Source organism: Homo sapiens, chromosome 2, assembly GCF_000001405.40.
Source record: "Homo sapiens chromosome 2, GRCh38.p14 Primary Assembly".
Classification (NCBI taxonomy): Eukaryota; Metazoa; Chordata; class Mammalia; order Primates; family Hominidae; genus Homo; species Homo sapiens.
In genome coordinates, this window is record NC_000002.12 from 40,732,697 (window position 1) to 40,746,454 (window position 13,758).

Sequence of the window (13,758 nt, forward strand, 5' to 3'; positions counted from 1 at the left end):
TTCTTGCTGTCTCATACCTGACAATTCTCACTTGGATATTAGACATTGTGAACTTGTTGCATGTTTGATATTTCCTATAAATATTCTTGACCTTGTTCTGCAACATAGTGAAAGTTTTGGAAAACAGTTGATTTTATGAAAGTTTCATTCTGAGTAATTCTTAAATTGAATTACATGGATTTTTACTGTGGATGGAGGAACATAAACAATTGCTGGCCCTGTATACAACCCCTGGAATGTTTCCTTTGTTTGTTTTGTTTCCTCTGTTTCTTTCCTTGCCCTCAGGTATTTTTATCATATGCATGTGCTCACCAGTACTCAGTTGAAGATCAGAGGGAGACTCCTGGTAGATTTCCAGACTCTGTTATTCTGTCTTGCAAACTCTACACACATTGATCTCCCTAGACACCCAGTTGGTCCCTTCAACTCAGAGACATTGCCAGGTTCGGCCATATACTTCTATCCCTGTGCTATGGATTTTCTTCTTTCAAGAGTTACAGTCCTGCATTGTCTGAGGTACAATGCCTGGAAACCATGACTTTCTATTTCTTTTCTTTTTTGTTGTTTATGTGCTCTGTCTGTATCAACACCTTTGATTGATATGTTGTTGTTTTGCTGCCTGTTTTATGCATTTTCTTTGACATGGTAATTACTATCTGGAGAAGGTGTGAGTTAGAGGTTTTGACACAAGTGCCAAAAAACAAAAAAGTTAATCCTTTGCATCCTGGGTGTTTAGGTTTTCATTTTCTTTTTTATAATACAGTAAAAGATTCTCATTATCTCTATTTTGGTGAATGTCTTATTTCCAAATGAATATAAATGAATCAACAGTAATTTTCAAATGGATCACTTATGTCATTCAGTCGTCAGGATTAGTAAATACCAGGCTGTGCATCGTTTGTCTAATGGCCAAAAAACAACATTTTTACAAGTTGTGATGGTTATTTAGTACTATTGATTAACTATACCTTTTTATGGTTTGCTGGTGGTTTACATAATCCCACATAATTACAATCTTTCTCTTAGCCTAGTTTCTCAAGACCACAGGATTAACATCCCTTAATTAGATTCCTGATGACAAGAACTGGTCTATCTCAGACCTTCCTTATTTTCTTGGATCTTCTCCAACATATTTAATAGCACTGATAACAAACAACTATCTAATTTTCTGCATTTTTAATATCAACTACAATTAAATATAAAATTATAATAAAATGTGAAGGATTCTTGTAAATACAGCATACTCCTTAATTTAGAGAGCTTTTAGCCAATAAGTCAACTTTATGGTACTTGCTGGGGACCAACAAAAAAAAAACTTTCACAACTAACATAGACCTTTATTTTTAATGTCTTTTTAGGGAGGCATCTTTATACAATAGCACATACTCCTTCCTCTTAAGAAAGAATTGTGTTTTCATTCAAATTGACTGCTTTTAATATGAGTGTATTTCTAAAAAGTGTATTTTTACAATTATTCTGAGCTTATTAGAAACAAAAAATAGAAAGCAGTTACGAAGTTCACTAAAGACAAGTACTACCAATTAACTACATGGAATTTTCTTGAAGAGACAGAATTAGAAAAAAAAAAAACTAAAGAAATTAGTCATAAGATCTTAAAACCCTCACAACTCAACTCTCTAGATCTGCACTGTCCAATAGAGTAGCCACAAGCATCATGCAAATATTTAAATTAAATTAATTAGAATTAAATCTAAAATGTAGGAGGTCAGTTTTACTTGCCGCATTTCAAGTGCTTAGTAGCCACATGTGGCTTGTGTCCACATATTGGATAGCACAGACACACAACATTTCTGCCCCTGAAAAAAGATTCTTCTGGGCCATGTTTCTCCAGAGCTTTGCTTCGTTTGTGCTTGAGAACAATTAGCATTCCAATAAATGCTCCAGAGTTTCAAAAAGCATATTCTATGTTCTACTTCTTATTATAAGTTGTGGAAACATATAACATATTTAAATAATTTATCCCAATTATTTAAGTATTTAATCATTAAATGTTTAGGAATTTAAAGAGGTTAGTTTTCATCTACCTGGATAATTTTCTCTGCTGATACTAAAATATTAAGTAATATTGTATGTTTTTTACAAATTCTTAAAACCCTAAACATCATGAGGTTTTATGATATAATGGAGCATGAGAATATAAGGACTGTGGCACAATGAAGCTAGAATAAGAAACAAAAAACAGGCTGCCTAATTATAGGGTTTATAATGTTAACCACTATATTACGAATGAATGAAGAATGTATATATTTTCCATTTTAACTAACAAGAAAGATGACAATATACAGAAAATATTTGTTGTGCCACCTCAGGAATGTCGAATTTGACTTTCTTTAAGTCTTCAGGGTAGGCAAAATAATTGCAGAACCTCATGGAATGCTTCAGTTAAAGGTCTCATAATCTAGTTTTAGAACATGATTGGAAGTCCATCTCCAAAGCAAAGGAGTATCTTTCTGTGATAAGACACAAAAAAAAAACCCACTTCTACATGAGTTTCTGAGATTCCATAAGCTGATGTGTTATGGACTTAATATGGACAGCTAAAGAGAAAGAAAAAATCATGTAAACTAGATGGAACGACAATTGAACTTCACAATATATTTTATATCACACTGTTTAAAACATACTTGTTTAAACTGTGTCACATGAAACAAGATACATGTCTACTCTTCAGTGACTGAATCTACCTTATTCGATATTTAAAAGAATGTTTTAAATGTACTATTATGAGGTGGGGGTAGGCTTGCCAGATAAAATACAGGATGCCCACCTAGGTAAATTTGAATTTTAAATAACAACAAGTACTTTTTTTAGTATGTTTCAAATATTGCATGGGGCATAGTTAGACTAAAAAAAAAGTTGTTCATCTAAAATTCAAATTTAAATGGAAATCCTTTTTCGAAAAAATTGCTTAATATGGCAATCTAGGCACAGGAGTTCAAAAGATTTATGATTCACAAACCAACCATTTTACCCATTCTACATGCTTTGTGCATTTCAATAGCCCTCTTAGGGGAAGAGATAGTAAGGTACTTATTTACCACGTATAACCACGGAGCCACTGGGCCAGGATCATTGAGAACGTTTTTATCATTCTCTTCAAAGGGTTTATATCTAAGTGAACATATAGAAATGTTTGATAACTTACTTAATAATAAAGATATGATTGCTATGATTTTAATGTCGATTTCCTCCTCAAATTCATATGTTGATACTCTCACTGCCAAGATGATAGTATTAGGATATAGGGCCTCTGGGAAGTGATTAGGGCATCAGGACTCTGCCCACATGAATAGAATTTGTGCATTTATAAAAGAGGACCCAGCGAAACCCCTTACTCCTTCTGCCATGTGACGTTAGAGTCATAAGATAGCTCTCTATCAGAAATCAGGTGCTCACCAGACACAGAATCTGCTGGCACTTTGATGTTGGACTTCCCAGTCTCCTGAACTGTAAGAAATAAATTTCTGTTATTTATAAGCCACCCAGTCTATAGTACTTTGTTACAGCTGCCCAAATGAACTAAGACAATAACCATAATTTAAGGTTGTTGTTACAAAATAGCAATTTGGGGTATTGTGAAATTTTACACCCTGAATATCACAATCTGAAGCCTAGGAATTTCCTTACATGCATCTGGGACAGCTGTGCCCTTGGAATGTCCTTGCTACTGATACTGCTGCTCATGCAGCCTTCATTGCCTTTTCTAATCCAAAGAATAAAAGCTTGATGGTGACCTGATTTCTTTTTTTCCATTCTCCAAAGGAGAATAAAACTGCCAAAATGAAGCTGAGACAGACTGAAAAATAAAAGTGGCTTGAGATAACTTACATTTAAAGATGCTGTGGCCTGCTTTCCTTCTTCTTTATTATTTCATCTTGGGAAAATGTTTTTTCAGTGAAAATGATAAATAGACATCTAAAAATTGGGAGTATTTTCTGTATTTCGGAAGCAAGTGATTTTGGATTTCCCTCTTTCTTTAAGAGAGATACCTGGTGATAATCACATTCACCGCCATTCTCCTTTATCCTGATGAATGTGTCGGGGCTATGTGGTTTTGTTATTCTTGTAGACATGATGAAGGAACCCAAACAAGTTCAGTTAAGTTCAGATCCCTTGGTGTTGATGGCTGGTTTGGAAATATAAAAGTTGCTAATGTCTCATAAGGTGATGATTAGAGGTATACTTAGTAAAGGTACATATTAGAGGTATAGATAGTAAATTTACAGTAACAATTTACTGTATTCTGTTCCTCTTTGTAATGGCCCCTCCAACCACTCCTCATCATCCCTGTGTCTCTGCCATATCATGTTGTCTAGAACAGCATTGGACTATGCAAGCAGACAGAGTAAAAAGTGTCTTCTAACCTACGTAAGTCTATGTAAAAAATGTCAAGTATTCGAGGAACTATATTGTGGTTCTCTATGTGGTACATGGATGATAAAATCAAGTCACTGGAAGCCAGGAGGGTCTTTATAGTTTTTTTCAACACCGAAGACTTCAATGAGACTTGGAAAAGAAGTCTTTGAAATTAAGTTAAACAACAAAAAAAGCTACTTTCGCTTACTCTCCCCAGTCCTAAAACTCACATATGTATGCCTTGCCAACAAATGCACATAAAATGGTCCTTTTATTGACTGTGAACATTATGAGCATCGTAATGGTTCACTATTCATTACTGCAAAGTGTCCTCAGACATAAAAGGCTAACAAAAATTTGATCAAAAGCTTGGGGTTCGTAATGCTGGAAAAACCAACAGTAAAATGAACACTCAAATTTTGTATCTGCTTTACAAGAAATAAACAAAAGACACTCTGTTCCATGACACAGAGGAGATATAATCATAAAACAAACAGGGAGAAACTTCTTATGGAAAGAATAAACTAACTGAAAAATGTTTCTCATTGCAGGGTCTGTAGTTAATTCTGAATTTATATTATTTTAAAGGCTTAATTTTGTATTTTTAATTGAGTAAAAATAGTACAAATAATCTTATTTGGGTCAAATGGAATCACTACAGGCATCTATATAAGTTAGAATTGGCTTCAGCAGCACATAATGCAAAACTCAAATTAAAGAGGCTTTAAAATGACTGAATCTTAATTTCGTCTCACAGAAATTGTGCATAAAAGAATTCCAGAATTGGTACGGCTGTTTTACTGACATTAAGGAATCCTGTCTTTTAAAATCTTTCTTTTCTGCCTTCCTTAGGACGTTTTCTATGCTTGTGGTCACCTTATCGTACAAGAAGACAACTGTAGCTCCAGATAATACATCTGTATTCCAGGAAGGAAGAATGAGGAAGTAGGAAAAACTAAAAGAGCAAATCTCTCACTTTCAATAGGTTTCCTAGATATTCTTACCTGATGGCTTCTGCTTGTATCTCACTGCAAGCAAAGACTGGGAAATGTAATCTTCCATTCAGTTATTTTGTTGCGCTAGATTAAATTAGAATATATCAGTGACAAGATGCAGATAATTGATAGTACATGAGTAACTAGCCGTCTCTAACTTTGAGTCAATTTATTCTCATGATAATAATTATTTAAAACATCTTTATATGTTTCTAGTTCTCGCTGTCAGATTTTAGGAGGTGGTCATCATAGCAGAACGTAGATAACAGAATAGGAAACTCCAATATAGCACTCTATATTCCAGGCTAATTTTGTAAATGTTTACATATTTAATCTTCAAAACAATTTCATGATATGTAGTCAACAAATAGTTGTCCCTTGAACAATATGGTTTTGAACTGTGTGGGTCCACTTATATGCAGTTTTTCTTCTATCTCTGCCACCCCTGAGACAGCAAAACCAGCCCCTCCTCCCCTTCTTCCTCAGCTACTCAATGTGAAGATTATGAGGATAAAGGTCTTTATGATGATCCACTTCCACTTAACAAATAATAAATATATTTTCTCTTCCTTTAATAATTTTCTCTATAACATTTTCTTTTCTCTAGCATACTTTTTGTACGAATACAGTATACAATGCATAAAACAGGCAAAATATGTGCCAGTTGATGGTTTATGTTATCAGTAAGGTCTTAAGTCAACAGTAAGCCATTTGTAGTTAAGTTTTGGGTGAATGACAAGTAACACACAGATTTCTGACTGCAAAGGGGGTCCATAGCCCCTGCCCTGTTCAAAGGTCAATTGTGCTATTATCACCAGCATTTTATAGATGAGGAAACTGATGAACAAAGAGGTTAAGTAACTTACTTGTCAATGACATATAACTATTGAGTGTAGATTTGAATGCAGACAGTCATTAAAGCTACTGGTCAGTAGTCTGCAATCTTCCCACTCAAGTGGGAAAAATTAATTTTAAATTTAATTACTCCTATTTAAAAATTAAGTATATCAAAGACCCTTAGAGAAAGTATAACATTTTAGTTACGTTTTTTTCTGAAACAGAAATAGAACATGAAAAAGTGAAAGGAAATTATTGGAGTGCTTTCACCAGAAGATGACATAATCTGAGTTAAAAAGGACACCACAGAGGATAAACCTTTCCTTCCCTGGGCAGTGAGAAAAGATGGATTAATGTAGACCCTTGGGGTCTCACCTCTCTTTATAAATACTTTTGAAAAGTTCCCTATTTTCAGTCCTCTTCCTTCTTCTCACTCTTATGTTGACCAGTTATGTGAATTCTTGAGCCTTTTGAGTGTCTGTAGAACTAATCAATACATGTGCTTTTGAAGATACTTTTCTCTACCATGACTCATTACTCTTAATTTAAATCTTCTCTTTGATATGTCATTTACATGTATTGCATCCATTTTCTATCTTGATACATTTTGATTAGAGTCAACAGCTCTCTTCTGGCTTAATTATGGGTAGAGTTTGTGCTGAATTTCTGATTTCGGTTCACGTTGTTTTGAGTAAATTTCAAAAAAGAAGGTGAGGGTAATATGTGTTTTTACCATTCTGCTTTGGAATTCCTACTGCTATTCCATTTAAAGGTTCTCAAGAAAGAAATATCTGTCCTCTTCCCTAAACCTTTGACCTTCCAAAACACTCACTGCCAGGCTATTTTCTACAGCATGTGGAGTACCTGACATCAATACCCAGTTAGCCATTTAAGACTACAGTAGTGGCAAGACCATGTGTGCACACATCACAGTGTCATAGTATTTGAGTGCTCATTTCTGTCTTTCATGAGTGGATGCAGATTTATTAGGGTGTCTTTTTAACATTTAGCCACTGATTATTAGCAATACTGCACTGAAGGAGAATATATGTGAGAAAGCAAAAAAATTTACTTTCATTATTAACAGTCATCAAAGGGTAGTTTTAGTAAAATTGGGATGTCTATGATCAGTGTGTTCTCAATCAAAAACAATAATCCATTTGGCTCTAAGGAATAACACAATCATTATAATAATTGTATTATTGTATAACAATATAATACTGAAGGAGAATATATGTGAGAAAGCAAAAAAAAATTACTTTCATTATTAGCAGTCATCAAAGGGTAGTTTTTAGCAGAATTGGAATGGCTAAGATCAGTGTGTTCTCGATCAAAAATAATAATCAGCCCATCTGGCTCTAAGGAATAATATAATTATCTTTGGTGTTCCAGCCTCTACTTTAGGTTCTTGTCTCTTTTAATTTCTTTCTTAACACTAAATAGTTCTCTCTATTCACCTACAGAAAATGACTGATAAATTTATTTACACCGTGGTTTTTGCATATTCATTTTTTTCTAAAACAGTTTGCATTTCAAAAGATAATCTGGACAGAAAAGGCAATTATTAAATGAAATGACATGTTGAACTTTAAGCATGAAGAATAATGATGTGGGGGATTGGAGAGTCTTCTAGTGTTTCAGTCACTCTACTTTCTGCAAAGCTAGCCCTGATCATAATGATAATGTTATCAGTCAGTGCTATATCCTGGAAAATGAACATGTCAAGGCCAGAACTTGGCAATGTGACAGAAAAGGGGTGGGAGTTACGAAATAAAGTGTTCAAAAGACTTAGAAAAGCTCATTGGGAGCAAGCTTATTTTCCATAAGAAATGGTTATTAGAGATCAAAAGAAAAGAAGAGCAAAACAAGGGGGACTCCAGGGGACTACTTGTAATTCCCTCTATATTTTTTGGTAATTCATCCCCAACATCTCTCCGAAATAGCTGTATATACATTTGAAGGACACAGTAGAACATTCAAAAGTAGAACTTCAAAAGTTTGTACTTCTGAGTTTGTGTTCAGTAACACACAGATGTATAGAATTCTTAAGGTTTAAGATCAAATTCTTCATATTTCAGGAATAATACATCAGCTATTCTATTTGACCCCTTTCCTGTAAGGAGAACATAGTTTCTTAAAATGTAAATCATCAAAAAAAATTTTATTGTAGGATATTATTACACATATTAGGATACTTCCTGAGATAATTTTGGAACTCATTTATGTTATCTTCCTTCCTGAATTAAGATTTTCAAATATAAATGAACAAATAACCCATGTGATCCTTGCAATTAAAAATGGTTATGTACTTTAGATGTTTTCAACCCTAAAGTTAGTTGTTTTTTACATACCGAAACACTTTAAATGGAGATACAGTGTTTTCTATTTTTGGTTAATGTTTTAAATTACCATGTTCTATTATGCAGGGTTAACTATAAAATTTGACCAAAATCTGTATTTTATGGACAAAAAAGGACAATAAACATCAATACCCAACTGGCTTTTGACATACCATATAAGACTATAGAGTTACAGCCATATAAGACTGTAGAGTGCCTGTAATCTTGTCTAGACATTTCACAGGATCATGGAATTAAAATGCTTTTTCTGTTTCATGCCTGGTATTCCAGCTTTCATTTTCAAATATATTTTAATTTGGATAATAAACAATATGGTCATCCTATTAATAAATATCATGGTGAATCAAGGTAGTTCTCTGTTCATCAGGATGTGTTTGTTAAACAGGTGAGGTAGGTTAATAACCTTCCTATTGATTTTACTTTAAGAATTCCATGAGTAATGAGCCACTATCAAAGATCTCAGTGGGTCAAATTACTCAACTTCTACTCCAGCTATGTTACCTAATACTGTAATCATGCCTATGCTTCCTCTGGCAGTTAACTATAGCTACAAGGATCCTGCCATCCTCAGATATCGGCATCCATAACGAAATAAGTGAAGTTATTTCAGTTACAGCATTTCTCACTTTCATCTGCAGTCACCACAATTTTTTTTTTCAAGGATGCTTGTGCTGTCTTCTGAAAAGAGGTCTTCTGGGTCACCTTGTGAGTCGTGCTTATGAACTGAGCTAGCAGATGGTACAAGAAAAATCTGCTTTAATATCCATATGTCTCTGAGTCTTTATATACATATATAAAGACTTTATATATATATAAAGACATATGTATATATATATATATATGATGGAATTTCTACCACAACCTTATTCAGCATAAATCACCAATGAGTTCAGTGAATAAACAATTAGTTAGACTCCTATACGTTTGAGTTAGGAGATGGAGTCGGAATTTCTGATAAGATTAACTATATCAATTAATGAAACCCAATTTAAAATCATATTCTTCCTGTGATCAAGTTTTGCTGATATAAATATATATTTTCATTAGCTTAAACTTAAGCTAAATTATTCTGTGGCCATAAAATATATATGTTTGATATGTATATACACATACACATACATATATACATATTTATATATATATTTTTCCATGTTATGTCTCATTTCTGAGACGGCTGCAGTTTGTTTTGCTCTATGTTGTCTTTATCCCAGGGCCCAGCTAAAGGAGTAGGACCTTTCTGGAAATTGTTGATTTTGTGGCAGGGAAAGAGAAACATGGTGGCAGACCACACACTGGCTCTTGAGCTTCTTCTTGGAAGTTGCAAACATCAATTCTGTTCACATTCCATTTGCCAAATCAAGCCACATGGCCAAACCTTACATCAGTCGGGGTACAGATGTGCTAATTTTCCATGGGAGCAGACACAAAAAGTATTTAAACAAAAATGCAATCACCTTGTAGATATTTTGGCATGGAAATCTTCTTTTCCTTGGTTTGCCATTGTAACTGGCCTCTCTGGCAACCTGGGATCTGTTCTAAATATGGTTGTGGAAAAAACTAGATAGTAGTAATAAAGCAAGAAGGTAATTGGTATTTTATTCCAAGTTGACCTGTGAGGTCATTTCAGTTCTGCAATAAAGCAGATCGCTATAATAGTCTTTTTGAGGTTTGAGCATTTAGAATGCTTGCACTTATAAAATTATTTGAATAAAAAATTCCACCTTTGGGGATATTATTTTTTCATAATTAACTTTCACATAAGCAACATAGTGAGTCTGTGGATATAACCTGTTTTGTAATTTAGCATCTCAAAAGGTACGATTTTGTCTGATCTTTGACTGTAATAGCCCTCCAGATAATATAAGAAAATAATTTAGACAGATCATAGACATTTCCTGATTTTCTGATTGTGTCTTAAGCCAAGAGTTTAAAGCCCTGGTTCTATTGCTTTATTCTTTGTTTTTCAGTATTATTAGAAAAAGCCTGTTTCATAGTCTCTCAAGCTACCATTTAATTTTCCAAAGTTTTACACTTACAGATGAAAATTTTGGTAAAGCTCTTAACACTGAACACCATGAACTATTAATCTGCCATTATATAGTGGGGAAAATAAGATATTTCTCGCTTTTAAACCAACCATATCAGAGAACCAATCACTTTCCCATTGCCTACAATCACTGGTGGTACCAAGTACTTTATCAATAAAGACTTGATTTCAGATAACTAAACCCTCCAGCAACTTTAAGCAGAAGAATATTTGACATAGGGAAATATGCATTTATAAAAGCATTAGATATCCTAGAGGAGCAAGCTCCAGCCTGGGCCTTCAAACCGATTCATAGAATAGCACTTCAGAACTAATCTATCAAGAAAAATTTTACCTTTGCTGGAAGCAGGAGATTGCTTTCTCAACTTTTGCTTCCAGGACTAGGGTACCTTAGCTACATGCAAGGATCAGGAAACTGCCACTGGAATTGTTGACTCAAGCTATGCTGTTGGAAGAAGGAGAGGGGTGCTTCTCTTTCTGACACCTTCTACTTCATTGAACGAGATTCTAAATACAAAACTGCTGTGTGTCCATTTAAACTGGTGAAATCTAAAATACAACTATAACTCTGCAAGAGAGTCTGAGATATCTTATAATTTGAGTCCCAATGAAGGAAGGAGGTTAAGAATAAGTGTTGCAAAAAGTCAATCCTCAGCACGTATAAAATTATTCTATTGGATTTTCTTTTTTGTAATTTCTATTGAGAAGTTTGCTTTCAACTTATTGTTCTTCATTTATAGATAAAATTGGTCTCTGGTTGCACTTAGTATCTCCTTTTGTGTTTGGTGTGCTGCAGTTTCATTGTATATTACTTAAGTGTAGATTACTATTTATTCATTCTACTTAATACTCATTATAATTCCTGAATGTAAGGATTTATATACTTCAATAATTCTTGAAAATTTACACTGAATTATATTTTTTAGTTTATATTTGCATGTGTTACCTGTCAGTAACTCAGTTATCTTTTTCTGAAACTTCTATTAAATATATGTATAAAACTTATTTAAGTCCTTTATATCACAACATTTCAATCTCTGTGTGTATATATATATATATATATATATATATATATATATATATATACACACACACACATATAATTCAGATAACTAACAATCTTACCAATGCCCTAATTTGCTGTGAAATTCATCTATTTATTCATTTTATATTGATGCCTACATTATTTATATTTTGAAGTTCTGTTCTGGGCTTTTGCAAAACTGGCCAGCATTTTTCTACAGCATCATATTATTGCCTTTTTTAATAAAGAAGGCAATTATTTTAAATAAACATATAATGACTCCTTGCTGGCTCTATTATCTGAAATTCTTTAGAGAGTGGCGATTAGAATGTGGATGTAACTTTTTTGGCATGCAGCATTCTAATCTCCAGAGCCTGCAAATATTATTTTATTGGAGAAAGGGTCTGTGCAGATGTAATTGAATTAAAAATCTTGGGATGAAGGGATCATTCTAGATTATCCGGGTAGGCCCTAAACTCAATGACTAGTGTCCTTACAAAAGACACACAGAAGACACACTAAAAGAGCAGTAGATGAGGGAGGCAGAGATTGGAGTGTTGCAGCCAAAAGACAAGGAACACTGACAGTTTTCAAAACTGAAAAACGCAAGGAACAGAATCTCCATAGAGCCTCTGGAGGGAGCCCAGTCCTGGCTACACCTTCAAACTCTGGTCTCCAGAGCTGTAAGAGAATACATTTCTGTTGTTTTAAACCACAACTTTAATGGTAATTTGTTACAGCAGCCCTTGGGAATTAAATACAGAATGTAATCTTGCTCTGTTAGTTTGTTTGTTTCTGTCTATTCTTGCTCGTGGGCACTTTGTACTCTTGGATTGCAAGGTCTTCCTTGAGAATTGTGGATCCTGACTTGAAGATATGTTCATTTTCAAAGAGCATATATGTAACTATTCCAGAAGCCTGAGGAGTATCACTAGCCTGGACCAATCTTTTTATGTTAATTTTTTACGGACCAAGGCACCCTGATGGATCCAAATAATACAAATGTGAACCCCAGACTGTGGGTAGGCCAGGCAGTTGATTGTGAATTTGCTTGGGAGGATTTCTTTTCTGTCCTGGCCACCCATCCTGCATTAGTTAATTTTGTTTTAATCCACTCTTTCACTTTGGTAGAGCTGCCCTCCAGTTTTTCGAGGACCGTAGGCTACATCTTCAGCTCCCATATTGCTCTAAAACCCACTTTCATCAATGAGAAGACTGGAACCTTTCCACCTTCACCCCAGATCTGTCCGGTTTGCTTCAGTTTGAGAGCTAAGCACTCTAGTTATGGCTATAATTTTTTTGTCTCCTCTTTGCTTTTAATCTCTGGTAGTCTTTTATGTGAGAGCACTTATAATTTTTAAAGGACTTAAAAATAGTAAATCCAGTATTTCTAAGTAAATTGTACCATAAAGTGGAACAGCTAGGTTTAAGTTTAAAACAGAGATCCAAATGTTGCACATTCTAAATAAATACTATTTTATTAAGTAAGTTTGTAAGAAAGACTCAAAATTCCAGTTTCCTCGTTGTGATTTTATACTATGGCTATACAAGGTGTCACAACTGATGAAAAATGGCCGCAGAGTTTATGGAATTTCTGTATATTAATTTCCCCATCTGTGTGTGAATCTTCAGTTACTTAAAAATAAAGCATTAAAAAAGTAAATAAAAATAAAATTTGCTAAACCACAAGAGTTTCTTTCTTTCTCATGTAAGAGAAAAGCTAGGTCCTGATGAAGGTAGCTTAGGTTTACATATCTATCTAGAATGTAAGCTTTATTTCAGCTTTCTTCTACATAATTTCTATACTATATGCCATGGTCTCAAGCGAGGCAAGGAGAATAGGGTTTGGAGGCAGGGAACCTAAGGCTGATTCTGCCTGACTCGATATCAGAGGCTACTCCCTTTTCAACCCCTCCTTTATTCTGCATGGCAGTTGCTGCTGGCAGTTGTAACCCCTCCTTTTGCTGCCTCGCAGTTGTTGCATGGCAGTTGGAAAATGAAAGTACCTCTGATTGGTCCCCTCCTGCAACCAATCAGATTGGTCGTGGGCCTCCTCTTCAACCAATCAGACTAGTCACAGGTCACTCGAGTGAACCAATGGGAAACCTCTTGAGGGTA

At 34.4% G+C, this 13,758-nt stretch overlaps 1 long non-coding RNA gene across 5 annotated transcripts in view; it reads right to left on the reverse strand.

Moving 5' to 3' along the window:
* Positions 1–13,758, reverse strand: part of LOC105374497 (uncharacterized) — a 291,527-nt gene that overhangs the window by 53,956 nt on the left and 223,813 nt on the right. The window contains exon 3 of one of the 5 annotated variants that reach the window (XR_001739423.1): positions 5,382–5,456. The exons of the other annotated variants lie outside the window; for them this stretch is intronic. This is a non-coding gene — a long non-coding RNA (uncharacterized LOC105374497). The remainder of the gene's footprint in view (positions 1–5,381; positions 5,457–13,758) is intronic. 5 annotated transcript variants of the gene reach the window in all.